This window comes from Homo sapiens, chromosome 15 (genome assembly GCF_000001405.40).
Source record: "Homo sapiens chromosome 15, GRCh38.p14 Primary Assembly".
In the NCBI taxonomy this organism is placed as follows: domain Eukaryota; kingdom Metazoa; phylum Chordata; class Mammalia; order Primates; family Hominidae; genus Homo; species Homo sapiens.
In genome coordinates, this window is record NC_000015.10 from 60,728,444 (window position 1) to 60,745,369 (window position 16,926).

Genomic DNA, 16,926 nt, shown 5'->3' on the forward strand with positions numbered 1-16,926 from the left:
GAATAGCAAGTTACAGCTCATTAACACAGAAAAACATAGGACATTAGTTCATTTCCACTTAAAAATATCCCTACTAAGTAAATCATCATTCGTTTCATCCAAAATACCTACAGAGACACACAATTCACTTATAAAGTTGAATGAGGGGATTAAAAATGAAGAAAAGATTATGTCTCCCATTTAAAAAATATTATAAGTAAAATGCATTTACCAGTAAAACACACTAAAAGGATCTGCAGAAACATCCCTGCTCCATTCATTAATGCAACAAGTATATGCCAAGTGCTATTCATTTCTCAACACCTAAAGGTGAGCCAGGCACAGATCCTGCCCTAAAAAAAACTTAAAGTGTAGTAGGGGAGGTAACTCACATTTACATATAATTCAACTGTAAGTCAGAGTGCGAAAAGTACTATAAGAAAGGTGCAGATTTTTAAAAACTTTATACAATAATAAAATTATAATATAAATGTAAGATATTATTAATTGCATCTGGTAGAGGTCTCCCCTTGAGTTATCCCATCTGAACACAGAGCTAATACGTTGTTATATCCATAGGCGGGATATTTACAACTCCCTTTGTTGGGGTTTTATTCTAGGTGTAATTACCACTAGCAGGACAGGAGCTGGAAGCCAATAGGAAAGGCCGAAGCTGATGCTGATATTTACCTCCCCGTTTTTGGTGTCCCTTGCTTTGAGAAGGCAGGCCCCAACACTGGGTTCCCTCTCACATCCCCCCACCCCACCCCATATTCTGAGTTCCTCCCACCTCTGTTCTGCTCCATCAAAACTTCATTGACAAAGAGCCTCATGGATGCCACTAAAGAGGACAACACATTAACTGGAAATGCTCAGTCTTTCGATCACTTTCCTTACTCCAACCTCCAGTGATACATATTTTAAAAGAGTGTCCTGGAGATGAGTCTTTAGCCAAAAGAAACTCCACCTTAGGAGAAGTGGGGACAACAGAGTCAGGAGTCCTGGATTCTAGTCCCAGATTAGTCACTCAATGTAGTACCCTAGGACAAATCCATTTATGTACCTGAGCCTCCATTTTCTCCATTGTTAGAATTCACCAATAGCAGACTCCCAATGTCCTGAGTATGTAATATGCAATATAAAGCTCTCATGAATTATGCAAATAAATTTAAATACAATCATGAGAGGGAATTTTAGTGAGGTGCAAGGGATCTTTCTGACAGGAACCCTGTCTGTATTACCTTGGGTAGGGTAGGTTTGTCCTGAGGCAAGACCTGTGCCAACAAATGGCATTGAATCCAACCCAACTGGATTGTAATCATTTATACAGTTGTTAGTTGATTTCTTCTTCTGTGTATTAAATCTAAAATATGAAGTCTAATCCAACTTATACTTTATGTAGTCAGGGTTAGGGATGGTATTTTCTATGTAATATCTTACCTCTCTGCTTTAAGGCTAGTTGTGGACAATAGATTTAGTTTTTTTAAAAATTGCTAGATTCCTTCTTTTCTGGTTCCATTTCTGGAAATAGCAACATTAGCAGCACTGAATCAAAGTGGTTCTTCTCACGACTTGTCCCTTGTCCCTTTTTACATTTATCTCCTGTTACGCCAGCACAAATAAAACCATGAACAAGAGTAAACAGCGAATGTTGGGGAAGGAGTTTTCAAAAGCAGACCTTGGTATCACTTTTAAATAGTCCACAGTTCTAAATGAGGCTGCAAGCATCTTGTCTTCCTTCAGTTGACTGCAGGAGAAGATCTGTACTAGATGATGCTGGAAGGTCTTCCTCTATACAGGAAGACGGCTTTCCTCCCACACGGTTTCAGGTGTGCACACATGACACTCGGATGTGACTGTTAGCAGCTGGAAACTTTGAGGTTACCAAGGACCGTAGGAAATGCCATTCTTCTCATTCTGAAGAACTGAATTTGGCCAAATGGTCTTAACCTTTCATAGCCTGATTTCTTTTGTGGTTGTCTTATCGTTCAATTAATTTAAACCAACCATTCCTTCTTTAAAATACAGAAATAATACATGCTGGCTGGAAAAATCTTAAAAAATGCAGTAGTATGTAGAATACAAATCAAAGGAGCTTTTCACTTCCCCTGCATTCCTTAATCCTTCTCTTCTCTTTTGAGGTCAAACTTTTAAATATAACATTTTCTAGGCTACTTTCTGTGCTTTAAATATATGCTTAAATACAGATGCATGTATGTGTGTGCTCACTTGTATTTCTCTTTGCATGTTTTCCTGTGATCATTTCATTTTACTTAATACTATATCATGGATTCATTTCCAAGTCAATATATCTATATTTGGTTACTTTCTAACACTGTTTAGTATTTACAAGGAATAAATAGAAAGGTATGTTACAATATGAAAACTTTATGTCTCAACAAAATCTCAGTGAGCTATTCATATAGGAAAAGAATTTTTTTTTTTTTTGACAGACAGGACAGTATTTTCATTGTTTCTTTTTAAACATACTTTTATTTTAAGTCCAGGGGTACACCTGGTTTGTTACATATGTAAACATGTGTCGGGGGGTTGTTGTACGGAATATTTCATCACTCAGGTATTAAGCCTGATACCCATTAGTTATTCTTCCTAATCTTCTCCTTCCTCCCACCTTCACTGCCTCTTAATAATAATCTGTCATATATTGAGGCTAACCCAGTAAGCAGGAAAGCAGCCCAGCATCTTTAACTCAAGAAACTTGTGAACTTTGGTGAGCCATATGGAGTAAACAACTGTCAGTGATGGTGGATAAGGTCATTTAAGCAGGTGTGTCTAGAAAAGAATGATGCCCCAAACCCCCAAACAATACACTTGAATTTCACCAATAAAAATTCATTCCTTTGGTCTAAACATGGCCAATACTAAGCCTTCTCTTTAAACATGCATATGTGTTTGGGATTAGCAACCATTTAGTTTGTGGGATGCTTTCCTTTCCAGAAACCATGCTTCCATCTGAAAACACTGAGTGTTTCTGGTGAAAGAAGATTCTGACACTAGGGAGAGGCAGACACAAAATAGAGAAGATGTACTGAAGGAAGAAAACAGAAAAAAGTCAAAACAGCAAGGATTCCAAATTAGCCGAAGAATCAGTCCCCTGCCTAGAGATGGCCCCAACTGCTAAGAGGAAAAGTTAACTTCAGGTGAATAACATTATATTTTTTAGAAAGGTAAGTGGTTTCTTTGGTGAACTAGAACAGAGGAAGCAAGTAGAGCAAGCACACCAACACTCCCACTCCTTGTTTACAGCAGACATCACTAATCTATTGTGGCATTCTTGGTACTCCAGGCAGCCACTACCAGTTGACTGCTGTTAGTGCCCAAAATGAAATACAGTTTGTTATTCAGTCATGGGAGTCATCATCTCCATTATTAGCAGCCATGAGTTTGAATTTCACAAGTAGACATGAATTGCATAAGCTTAAAGTTGCTGTCAGCGTTCTTTTTCAGCCAAGTATCTGCAGAGGAGGACACGTCCCAGGGAAAATAGGAGGTCTCTATTAGCTAATGAATTAGGATCCTGCCATACCAGGCTAGAAGTTCCGAATAGGCGAAGGGAGAGCATTGAGTAACCAGCCTCTTAGAGGCTGAGTTGAATGGTCATCTAAATCAACTGTGCTATGGAATAGGATGCATCTCTAGCAGATGCTGGGTACACAGAGTTTTCAAGAATTTAAAAAAGACGTTGCCTTAAAATGTCTTGTTTGGATAGGGCCATTTCTGCATATACACCCCCAAATTAGATTATTTTTAAAAGGTTCTATTATCTAAAAATACTATGTAACATTTTAAAATATAGTAACCATCAAGGAAAACAGAGACTGAATCTAACAGGAAGAGGATGTGAGTGTCAAATTGTTGGATTATATAAGATGGAAAGGTAGGTGCGGGTGAGCCAGCACCTTCCAGATTCCTGAGAGGCAGCAAAGTCAGGGTGCCTGTGCAGAAGTCAGGCCAAAGCTTTTCTCTCTGTGGGAAATCTTCAGCAAACAGCCAGTTCCCTGAGCTCAGGACACACCACATCTACCACCACATTTCAGGAGGCTTACTTGGAGTTTCAGTGTAGAAGTTGTCCTCAAAAAAATTAAGCAAATTAATCTAGAAAGCCTTAACCTGATTTGGCCAGCTTAGTTCAACTGTGTCAGAGGGAGGTTGAGCAAGCCCTTCCAGCTTGTCTGAGATGTGATAATCATTCTCATTCTCTCTCTCTCTCTTAATCACTCGTACATATCCACCCGTGGACAAACACACGTGTACACACACCCCCCTTTACATAACCAACACATGAACACTTACACAACCCTACATACCCTGACACGTGAACAGTTAAACATACTTACAATCACACACACACCCACATACACTCACATACTTACAGCTACGCACACACACGTGCACTTACATGCTTCTATAAAGACTATCCTGTTATCACCCTTCAGAGATGCAGATTCAAATATTGCCCCATACCCCATCATAGTATTTTCTTTCAAAACAAAAACTACTTTCTTTTGACAGAAATCTCCGTCTTTGAAAGGGACACTCTCATAAACATTAGGCCTTGGGGACCGTGTGGAAAATAAGCACACACCTGCTCTGCGGCCGGCCCCTTTATTGCCAAGATGGCATTAGCTTGCTCCTCTGGAGGAATTCTGGCTCAGAACTTTCATAAGTTGGAGACTCAATTATGCTTCTTATGAGTTCCCTAAATTTGGAAATGGAGGTAAATAAGGAAATGCATTAGTCAATGTCCTTCTCAACCTCCTCCCCTACTCATATTTCAATCTTCTCCCCCTGCTTTCTTGGGGTGATTTCTTTGAATTAGTAAAAACTACCGACTGTAGAGGCCAAAAATGAGGCACAATATTGAGATGGGAATAAGGACAGTGGAGGACACAAATGCCAATCTTACTTATGAGTATGACCAGTCTGTGTGGGTAAATCCCCAGGGCATGCAGTTTTTGCGTGGGCTGAGGCAACTCATGTCATGCCAGACTTCACTGAAGAGTGAGCAGTGTTACTGTGAGATACCAAGGAAATAACACACTTTGACGTGAGATCTTTAGATTTTAATTAAAATGCAAATATTAATGTTGTCAATATTGGGGGATTAAAGAGGATATTCCCCATGAATAAGTACTGAGGAAGAAAAAAGACCATGATCTGAAAGTTAAACTGTATGATCTCCCATAAAAGGGGATGGCAGAGATATGCAAAGTCACTTTACTGAGCTTCTGGAAGGCAAAATTTGACTGGAAGCTGCCTGAATTTACAAATCCATCAGAAGGAGGTATGATAATCAAGCATGGCCATGGGAGCAGAGAGAAAAGAGTTATGGAAACAAACGTGGGCAATGGCCTGCTAGGATTTTTCAGGCCTAAGGACCCAATCAGTTGTTCCCAGTGGATGGGAAGTTGAGTTGCCCAACTTATGTGTATCCAACTATCTGCACACAGGTGAGCGGTTAGAATAGGGGCAGAGAGAGAGAGAGAGAGAGAGAGAGAGAGAGAGAGAGAGAAAGAGAAAGGAATGAGATGGGAATGAGGAAAGGAATAAGAAATGAAAAGAGGGCAACAGAGTGGCAGAGTGGGAGGAGAGAGACAGAGAGTGAGATGGAGATGAGAGAGGTGACTCTTAATCCTTCATCAGCCTCTTGAGCTTCTCAGAAGATGAACATCTCTCTGTGCTCAGCAGGATTTTTAGTGTTAATTACAGCTGCTGTTCATTCAATGTGACCCCTAAATCAGTGTTCTCCAACTGAGGTCTTTGAGCCAACAGCATCAGCATCACCTGGAAAATTATTAAAATACAAACCTGAGTCTCTCCCCAGTCCTACTGAATCAGAAACTCTGGAGATGGGGCCTCTCAGTGATTCTGATGCACGATGAAGTTTGGGGACCACTACCCTAAACACAAGCCAACTACCACATCTGGAGCTCCACTGAAAAAACAGCTGGAGAAATCTCTCTTCTTAAATAAACACTGTAATATTCTGATTTTAACACAGGAATGATTATTTTATATATCAGTTTTGAGAGCTTGAGAGATTTGAGTCTGCTCTCTCATCTCTGAACACTGCAAAGACAAGACACGTTTTTGAGTCTGTGGAGCTGAAAGTTTGTCTTTGTAAATAGGAGACAGGCACCAACATAATGGCCCACTGTTAGATTTCTTGGGACCCCGACCTCTCCATGTCCTGCGTGGGTACTTCTCTGTTTTCACACACTTAACAGAAAAGTAGGTTTCCCTGATTTGAGAGAGATCCACACCTTGATAACATGCTGCAGAAAGATACAGTATACTCTTCCAAAAGACTATTCAGCATGGTGTAAATGTAACGGCAATCATGTAGAGACTTTGAAGTGACAGATGGGGCTAGAAATCTCTGTGATACTTTTGGCAATGGCTAACTAAACTGTTTTCCTGCATTTCTAATACATCAATCTGTTATTTGTTTCTAGCCTGCTTTTATTGTTTCATTTTATCTGCTATTTGCACTCAGACTTGACTTGCAGACAACCATGGGCAGCACAGTTGGGTATAAAAGAGAGTTATTTAATGGTGTTATTTAAGGTGTGCACCTTAGCCATGCAGTTTACAAAAGCAAATCTCTGTGAAGTACAAAGCATCAGAGAGCAAAACAACAGTCACTGACATCTCTTCAGAGGAGAGAAAGAAGCTGAGTCACTGAGCCTGCAATTCAAGAGAAGGCAAATATATCACAGAACAAAGAATAAACCTCCACCCTGGGTCACAGGACATCTGCCTCAGAGATGTTCACCAACACAGAAAGATTTGTTGCTTATGATAAAAGACATCTGTGACAAGACATACTGAACAAAGGATTATTTGACCCCTAACTAAACATAGCTGCTGTATAAAAGGTTGTTTTTTTATATAATATTGCCAAACACTATTTCTGTAGCTCTTTTAAGAAGAGGGAGAACAGCAAGTGTTATTAAATCTGTGGTAGACATCATTCTAAACTGTACCTGGGAAAGCATATGACACCTCCATCGTAACTGCCTAATTTGCTACTTAGGGATAGAAACTAATGCTACTTAATTGAAATAAAACCAGATGCGCTGCTGAGAGCCTACCACCTTTAGAATTATGCTAAGCATCACAGGGAAAAAAGGAAAAAAAAAAAACCAAGTTGCACTTCGGCCTCCAGAAGAGACAAGGTAAACAGAAGGTGAGTTCAAAAATGTTTGTATTTAGAGAACTCCATGTGAATTGGAATGTGGCAGGAGAAGCTTTCATAGAAGAGATGAACTTTGCTCAGTGGGTAAAATTTCACAAGGCAGTTTGGCAGGAAACACAAGCAAAGCAGCACAATGGATTCAAGGCTCAGTGGTTTTGAAGATAAAATTCAATCCCTCACTTCCATTTGGGATGAAATATTGGGAAGCAGCAAAAGTGTCACCAGCAGGAAGGTCAACTCACCATTGGAGACAGACTTATTGACTTGACTGGCCAAGCCCAATTTAATCCTCCATCCCCAATTCTAAACACACAGTAGACTAGATGTACCCATGCCCTTCACAACACACGTTTCAGCTGTTACCTCTCCCAATTATCTTGCTTACCTGTCAACTTTAAGGCGTCATCTAGGGATCAAGCAGATGCCTTCAGAAGCCAGGACTGAGTCTAGGGGAGGGGCTGAACAGGTTACAGGGCTGGGGGATTCTCACTAGGGATGTCAGTTCACTGCTGGCTAAGAGTGGGGCCCAGATTCAGTCTTCTCCTTTTTTTCCCCTGGTCCCAAAGTATCCTGGAACAGTGTTTTCTGGTTGGGCTATGAGTTTTCATGGTGGCAATCTCAGTTGGTACAGGAACCTAAGGTAGACGGCAGAGGTGCTAGCAGCATGGCGGGAAGTCAGAGTTATTAAGGAAAATATCCGAAATACAACCCATTCTGTCTCCCTCTTCCAACTAGCAATAATCAGGAAGGCCCTTCAGCTTCAGTAATATTTGAGAAAGGACTCCTGCACCCAGAGGAAAACCTTTGCATAGGCCAGCATTCGGTTTAAGACTTTTGGCCTTGTCCTCTCAGTTCATGAACTCTGATTTGATATTCTGTTACCTGAACAAACTCTGATCTGATATATATTTTTTTCTTCCTGAAAAAGAAGTGCATTGGAGGTATGGTGATTTCCAGAGCATCTCTGAGGAAGTGTAAGTCTGTTTGTGTGGCCCCTGTCTACCATGTATTATAATGATTTATGGGTCTGCCTCGCTGTCCCCTACTAGAGTATCAGCCTCAACACTCTCTACCTTGCTCAGTCTAAAAATTTATACTGGGGAAACATTCAATAAACAGTTATAGGCATCTACGGCCATACCTCCCTGAAGGTGCCCGATCTTGTCTGATCTTGGAAGCTAAGCAGAGCCGAGCCTGGTTAGTACTTCGATAGGAGAATAAATAGATACACCTTGGCTAAAGGAACATAGCGGTGAGAATTCAAGTTCTTGCCACCTTCCCAATGCCTCGAAGACAGAAAACTGAGGTCTTGCTAGACCTTTATTTACCACCGCTCCTTACCACTATGTCCTTTCCTAGAGCCCACCGGTGCAGCTCTTCCTAAATGCCTCAGCATCCAAGTGTACTTTCAGACCTGAACCCCTGCAGTGCCTTTATCCTGGACCATTCTGCTACAACCATTTCATAGCTGTGCATCACTAGAGGGGATGCCAGTGGGTGGTTAGGGAAGGTATCAAATTGCATGGAACAGGAGAGGGTACAATCAGGTGGATCATGTTGTCACTGCTGTTGGACGGTCTCGTGGTCCAACTGCACACAGCCCTTCTGGAAAAGTGATGATGTCTACTTCTACCTATTTCCAGGAAAGGAAGTTCTATAACTTCAGGCAGACAATTCCTATGTCTAAAATTCATTACGTCCCCTAGTAATTGCAGGATGGTGCTCTTGGAAGAGCACCACCTATTGGCAAAAAGACCAATGGAAGGTTAACCTCTAGACTAGTGCTTCTCAGGGTGTGGCCTCTGGACCAGCGGCATGGGCAGTACCTGGGAACTAGGTTAGAAATGCCAGTTCTTGGGTCCCATCCCAGACTGACTGAATCAGAAACTCTGGGCATGGGCTCAGCAATCTGTTTTTAACAAGTCCTCCAAGTGATTCTGATGCTCACTCGTTTCAGAACCCCTGGTCTATAGAATGGGGGCTATAAGCGTCATGTGTATATATCAGTTGTCAATTTAGAATTACCTGTTTGTTTGGCTCAGGTTTCTTCTGTTTATTGCTGCTTGTTAGGAAGAGATATCCCCTGCATTCCATAGATTGTGTGAACTGTCAACTGGAGAGGATGGGATACAATTTTCACAGGCCACTGGGCTCCTGGAAGCTCAGGCTATTTGACTTCGAAGAACTACACACAAGACCCTGATTAATAAATTTGTCAAGAGCTGCTCCTTTTTGTGACAATTCTAGCAGAGACTTCGGTGACAGCCGTCCACTTTTATGGATTTTAACTGAGTAATTAATAGGATAACAGTTACAAGTGCAAGTTAAGTGCGTATTATTTCTCCTGGATTGGGTCATAAATAAGTAATATAGCTTTTGGAAGTGAATGGGAAGAGACGCTTGAAAAGAAAGACCTATTGGGAGCTGAATGAGGGAGTCCAGACTTAATTTGAAGCTCTACCTTCTCATTTTAGTGAAGCAAGCAGTTCCACAAGGGATAAGCCGAGACCGTAGCAGCTTCTGTTTCACTTTGTGCTTCAGCTATAGCCAAACATCGACAATGTACCAAATGGAGACATTTTTGAAACTGTCCTCCTCTCACAGATATTAAAAGCAAAAACAACTCTTCAATATGCCAGAGGTAAGAAGAAAGGAGGAGCATCAGCAAAGACTGAGGAATATTTTACAACACAGTTACACAGACTATTACACTTTTATCTTTTCCCAGATCCCCGGGCTGACTCCTGCCCCAACCACAAATTCCTGGGCTGCTCTAGGATGTAGGGGCCACTCACCTGTTCCAAATCAATTCAGGGCCTCAGGGCCACATCACATCTTTTGTGGGCCCTGGGTGCTTTTGGCTTCACAAGCCCTTTCTCCATAATCAAAAAATAAGTAAAAACTACATTTTATGATATCGTTGGTATTAAGACAAATATAATCCAGGCTGGATTTCATCATTATGTATTCATTATTCTTACATTCATTTTTGTCCTTCTGATTTGAAAAGAAATGAAAATTAAAATAGTTTTGTTGGTCCCTAAAAGTCCTGTGGGCCTGTGGTCGTTTCCTACGACTGCTGGAACAAAGTTCCACTCACTGGTGGCTTACACAGAGGAAGCGCATTGTCTTACAGATCTGGAGGCTGGAAGGCCAAGATCAGGTTGCTGGCAGGGCCATGCTTCCTTTGAAGGTGCTAGGGGAAAATCCATTCCAGTCCTCTGTCCTAGCTTCTCAAAGTCCTCTGTCTTGTGGCAACATAACTCTGATCTTCACAAAGCATTCTCCCTGTGTGCATCTGTCTTCAAATTTCCCCCTTTTATAAGGACACCAGTCATGTCCGATTAGGGGCCCACCCTACTCCATGATGACCTCATTTTAACTTAACTAATTGCTCGGAACAGCCTTATTTTTCAAATAAGGTCACATTCCAAGGTACTGGGGATTATGATTTCAAAATATAAGTTTTGAGGAGGGGGACACAGTCCAACCCATAACCCAGGGCTGTGGCCTTGTATCTAATGAAAAAGTCACTTCTTTCAAGGACGTTCTCTGAGATTCTGAAGGCAACGTAGAAACCCGGGGTCTTCAGTAGCATCAGAAATGTGATAAACACCCAGGGGTGGGGAGAGATACATTTTTGGTTTGGGGCTGGGCGCAGTGGCTCACATCTGTAATCCCAGCACTTTGGGAGGCCCAGGTGGGTGGATCACTTGAACTCAGGCTTGAGACCAGCCTAGGCAACATGGCAAAATCCCATCTCTACAAGAAAACACAAAAATTAGCCAGGCGTGGTGGTGTACACCTGTGGTCCTGCTACTCGAGGGGCTGAGTAGGGAAGATCACTTGATCCCAGGAGGCAGAGGCTATGATGAGCCCTGATCGCACCACTGCACTCCAGGCTGGGTAACACAGCAAGACCTTGTCGCAAAAAAAAAAAAGTTTTTTTTAAAGGAAATACTTCACCACACTTCCAGGAAGATTTTGTGTGGACCAACTCAGTCTGGGGGAAGGTGAACTTCTCTCAATGCCCCACTTCATACAAGTGCCCTGCCTCGGGGACCTCCCAGTCTCTGACTTAGGAGCAAACCTTCCTCCACCTTGAGCTTTTCATCCTGCACATTTACCGCTTGTCTCTGGGAGCTGAGCCCCACTAGGTATTGAGGAAGGAAACGATTTCTTTTTTTAAAGAAATCTGATTTTCATGGAGGCCTTGTACTTCTCGTGCTCTTTTTCCCATGTTAACTTTAGCTTTTTTCCTCTCCTGAAAGAAACACTCAGCTTGCCCCTGGGTCTTAACTGACAATCCAAAACAGAGGAGGAAGAAAGAGAGGTTCCATCCAAAGAAAGAGATTTGTCCATCTCCCCTGGACACCAACCTCTCTTCTCCTCACCTGACTCCTCTCTTCTATTAGAAAGGAGAGAAAGGGAGCGGGGGAAACTGGAAAGGGGACTTGAGATTATCACTCCCTTTTTTTTAGCTTCAGTTTTTTTTAAGTTACTATCAGTCCATGGCAACAAAGGCCTCTGAATTCTTTCTGTCTGTGGCTCAATGGTTTAATTATCAAAGGATTCTATAAACCCCAACAACGTGTGGGCTACCCAGTTCGTTACCCCCCGCACTTCAGAAGAAAAATCACCTCACACAAAAACAGCCAAATAAAGTTGCACAGTCCGAGAAGGCCCATCAAGCGAGAACTGAAACAGTACATGAACTCTGCCTGTCCATTTAAATTGCAAAAGCTCCAGCTCATTCGCAGACACAGAATTCGGTCTGGCAAAACCATTCACAGTCCTGGATGTGAACTGGAGCCTACGACATTAAAGGCACCAAGGACAATGCCAGTGAGGCTGTGTCCAAAGCTGGACTATCTCCATGAAATGGTTCTCTCTGAGCAGGCAGAGGTAAATAACAGTAATTCCTTCGAGAGTGTGCATGCCAGAAATGAAGAGCTTGAAGTTTATGTGGAGGAGCTGTTGAAACCACCCCAGGAAGACTTTTTCTCTCAGCACAAATTATAATAAAAAAATCTCAGTGGCACTCTGAGCTGTAAATCTCTTAGGTTAACTTTTAAAAAAATGTGACATTGTTAGGTACATACGCAGGACCAAATGAGGTATTTCTTTTAACTGTTCTGCTCTTCATAGAGCCTCTCTCTCTCTCTCACAGCTTTGGTGGTTTTATGACCATACTGAAGGAGCTAGCAGAATCCTGTTGCTACCAATAGAGGGTGGGTTGGTTAACCTAACAGACTGACCCAAAAGGTTGGGCAAACCCCAGTGAGAAAGCAGCTGTGGCACTTTTTGAGGCTGTGCAATTGGTTCACCTGTATTTCCCGTGTGGTGTTGAAACAATTGCAAAATATAAGCCTAGGCATTCTTCTTGGGCAGTGGCAATGCTGTGGTTTAGAGTGAATGGACATCCCATGCTCCAAGTCAGTGATAAACCGCTTGAGTTATCCCCAAATCCTCTCCAAATGCTTCAAGCAGCTAATGTTACAACACTGACCATTAACAAATAATGTGGGACAGGAAGAGAAAGTTCAGTGAACCAATGACTCAAATTCAATTCCCAGCCAGAAACTTCATGGTGCACAGAGGACAGTGTCCTAAGGAACAGTGGCTCTTGCTTAATATGACCTTCAGGCTTTCTTTACCTTGCAGGGGCTGCGTGCGCTCCCAGGCTTCTCCTTCCCTCAAAGGAGAAAGACTGTTTACTCTGTTCATATGATCTCTGATGATAAGAGACTCAACAGGCCATGGGCTTCAGGGGTTCTTTCTTGATGCTATGAAAACCAAGATCAGGGGAAAGTGAGATGGGTCTATGCCTCCTTGGGTAAGAGCTTCTAGAGAATGGAATAAAGCAGAGGATAGGGTCAGACAGACTGAAAATTCTCAGAGGGTTGTGTTCCAGGGCAGAGACTGCTGTTGGCTCCTCCCTGTCTGGCCCTGGAAATGTAGAGGTTTACACCTGGGCCATTAGTAAATGCCCCATAATTCCTCATAGCAGATCTAGTTCCCCAACCTTACTGCAGAGGCATGGGAGCCGCACCTCATTGGCCTAATGGACTCCAGGGAGTTGGTCAAGGAGGTGCAGCCCTCTCCCTGGAAATTTAGAGTCTCAGGGAACTTCTCACTGTCTTCATCTCTTCATTATTCAAGTGGGAGGCCTCAACAACCTTGTCTTCTTTCCACACTTCCTGCATGGCCGCATGGCCACAGCTGATCCCCTCACTCGCCTCAAACCAACCGTGCAAATCTCCTTGGGAAGCAACATGCCACTCCCTGCCAAGCCTCCTCTGGACAGCGCCTGCGAGTTCCTTCCCTCTCCACTGGACAAAAGTTTCTCTCACAGCATTTCTGTAACTTCTGAAACCCAACCTCCTCCAAGAAGCCATTCTAGATTGATTAGAGAGAAATGCAAATAATTCCTGTGACTACAACTGGAGATATATCTATATCTATCTATATGTATAGATAGATATATATGTGTATGTATTGGGAGTTATTATCTTCAACAGCCACCAAGTTTCTTGGTGTCTCCTCACTGTCATCCACATTGAATGCTGTTATTCTTTTAAAAAGTGAAAATAACTTCAATGTTTGAGTGATTATAAAAATGTTATATGCTCACTTAAACAGGTAGATATGTAAGTGCAGAAATCTATTCAGAAGAATGTGAAAATCACACAAACCCCACTACACACAGAGTAAACTTTTCTTTATCTGAGAGGTAAAAATGGTATGTGTCTATGGTGTACAACATATTTTGATATATGTATACACAGTCGAATGGCAAAATCACAGCAAGCTGTTTAATATGCATTACCTCACAGACATCATTTTTGTGATGAGAATTCTTAAAATTTCTGATGGCAATTTGTAAGTATTTATTATTATTAATTGTGGTCACTACGATGTTCAATAGATCTCTTGAACTTATTCCTCCCGTCTAATTGAAATTCTATGTCCTTTGATCAATGTCTCCTTGATCCCCCCAAGCCTCAGTCTTTGCTAACACTATTCTCCTCTTTGCTTCTATGAGTTTGACTTTTTAAGATTCCACATATAAGTGAGATCATGTAGTATTTGTCTTTCTGTGCCTAGCTCATTATTTCACTAATGTAATGTCCTCTAGGTCCATCCATGTTGTTGCAAATGACCATGACTTCCTTCTTTTTAAAGTGGAATAAATAGCATTCCATTGTATATTGTGTATATATACCACCTTATCTTTCTCCAGTCATTATTTGATGGACACTTAGGTTGATTTCATATCTTGACTATTGTGAATAATTCTGCAATGAAAATGGGGAGGCAGATACACAGAAACAAGTTATATGATATCCCTATTTATGTAAATGCATTCATTCTATTTTTTTTTTTTTTTTTTTTTTTAGTCTCACTTTGTCACCCAGGCTGGAGTACAGTGGCACAATCTCGGCTCACTGCAACCTCCGCCCCCTGGGTTCAAGTGATTCTTGTGCCTCAGCCTCCTGAGTAGCTGGGACTACAGATATGTACCACCATGCCCGGCTAATTTTTGTATTTTTAGTAGAGACAGCATTTTGCCATGTTGACCAGGCTGGTCTTGAACTCCTTACCTCAAGTGATCCGACCGCCTCGGCCTCCTAAAGTGCTGGGATTACAGGCGTGAGCCACCGCACCCGGCTGTAAATGCATTGACTCATGACTGATACTGGTTCTATGATGCTGGCAAAAATTAAACTTAGGCTAATTTCCATAGCAAAGGTTAAGTAGCTACTTATTAATTGGCCCTGTTTACATGCCTACCATGAAAGAATTATTTTTAGGCTTAAGTGGAAACCTTAAGCTTGACTAAGACCATCATAAGAAAACAGTGAATAGCATATCTACTTGAAGTGGAAGATGAGTGAGCTTCAATCCCATTGTCACTCTGCTATAGACACTGATAAGTCTTATAAAGGCAGAAAACACTAGTTTGAGTGAAAGAATGACTGAGGTTGACAAAAGAAGTATCCACAAGGCATGGTGAGTGGATCTGCCAATCTCTCTGCCCATCTCCAGACAGTATGACTCTGATTCTAAGCCCAAATTTAGTGGGAGGCTCTGCCGCCACATCTTATGTGCTGCTGGGCTTGGTGAAGGTTAGCAGTCACTGTCTCAGTTACATGCATATGTGACAAGGAAAAAGTGATTTACAGCTTCTCTTTCCCTCTTGTCTTCTAGGGAGAAGAGAACTTCCGTCCAATTTTATCCTGGGCCTTATTTTTCCAATCAGAGTCATGGAATGGGGATGAAGGAGAAGAATAAAAAGAAGCAAGACCATTTGGTTGGTTTCCATTGGAGAAACCAGACTCACAGGAGGGGAAATGCTAGATCTGTAAGATAAGGGGTGGGTGAGAAAAATATAAGAATCAGAAAGCACTAGGGTTGAAAAAAAAAAGTTCTGGGAAACTTCCTTTTTTTTTTTTTGAGAAGGAGGAGTGATTAAGGCAGCTGTCATATTATGATAGGTGGAATTTTGAGGAGATAGATAGATAAAGAGATTTTTCAGAAAATCTGCCGTAAGCTGTGGATGGAACTCTTCCTTTAGCATTTTCTGAAAGACTGTAATAAAGATATACGTTGCTTTTAAATTATTTTTGAAAACCAATGTGTGCTTCTTTGGGAATGACACTGTGCTGACACGGGGGACATGAGGCAGCTCCATTTCATACAAATTAGATAGAAACAGCTGTGTCGTTTGCTTAGGGCTCTCAGTTTCCAGAGGACAGACTCCCATACCCATGTAGCTGATTCGGTTATATCCAGGGAGGCATCTTGCCATAGTTACAAAAGCTCTGAAGTAGGAACCTGAAGACCTGCATTTGAGTCCTGGTTCTCCCTCTTACCAGCTGTGTGGCCCAGGACATGTCACTTACGCTCCCTGAGTTCAGTGTCCTCACCAGCAAACTGGGGGGCAAGAATGGTGCTATGTGCCTGCACCCTGGACTTCCATGAGAATCAAGTAAGATAAGGGTATGCCAGCTTGCTCTGAGGACTGTGAAGAGCCACCCAAATCATTACTGAGGAAGGCCCCTTGGACAGCATGATATTCAGCAACTTACTGTCCTGGTGATAACAATGGTGGCTGTGATGGTTCTGAGACTGATTCTGCCCAGGGCCATTAACAATTCTCCTCTACTCCTTCCTGGTATCTTCTCTGAGTCGGGAGCCAGGGAGGAATAAACTCAGTCCTAGGAAACCTACTGGGAACTGGACAATTTCCCCACCTCATTTCACCCGGGGCCTCCACCACTGATTAAATGGAAATGCTGGAGGGCATGATGGGCCCAGGCCAGGATTCTCTTGAATCCAGCCTATGCCTGGCCACCGCGCCCTGTGCTGATGGTGACTTCACCCGCTGGCTCCCATCTCAATGGACGGCTCTTTCTGAAAGGCCATTTTGTGACTCGTCTTGGGAGTGCTTCATTCATGCTGGCTGAAGTTCTTTGCTCAAAATTAACTCTACTCAGCCCAAAGCAGCCAAAAAGAAACCGAATGAGACAGCAGGGAGTGAAGACCTCGCACACTCTAAATTTGCTTCCAGGGGAGTTTTCTCTGCTTTCCAGGATTCCAGCAGAATCTCATCCAACCTCAGAGGCAACGGCTAGGCTGAAGCCAAGAGCCCACCTTCTGTGAAGTCCTCTCCCCATACGTTCCCGTCACTCCCAGGATCCGCATCTTCCTGTGCAAAAGTCATC

The 16,926-nt window shown here is 42.3% G+C and overlaps 1 protein-coding gene and 1 pseudogene across 2 annotated transcripts in view, besides 1 other annotated feature; one reads left to right on the top strand and one right to left on the bottom strand.

The window, feature by feature from the left end:
* Window positions 1-16,926, bottom strand: part of RORA (RAR related orphan receptor A) — a 741,019-nt gene that overhangs the window by 240,160 nt on the left and 483,933 nt on the right. The window lies entirely within an intron of this gene.
* Window positions 7,127-7,421: a silencer, noted in NCBI's record as "tiled region #10122; K562 Repressive non-DNase unmatched - State 24:Quies". NCBI's record gives its function as "represses a minimal TATA promoter and a strong SV40 promoter by Sharpr-MPRA in K562 cells {active_cell/tissue: K562}" and the evidence as "EXISTENCE:reporter gene assay evidence [ECO:0000049][PMID:27701403]".
* Window positions 8,326-8,443, top strand: RNA5SP397 (RNA, 5S ribosomal pseudogene 397; annotated as a pseudogene).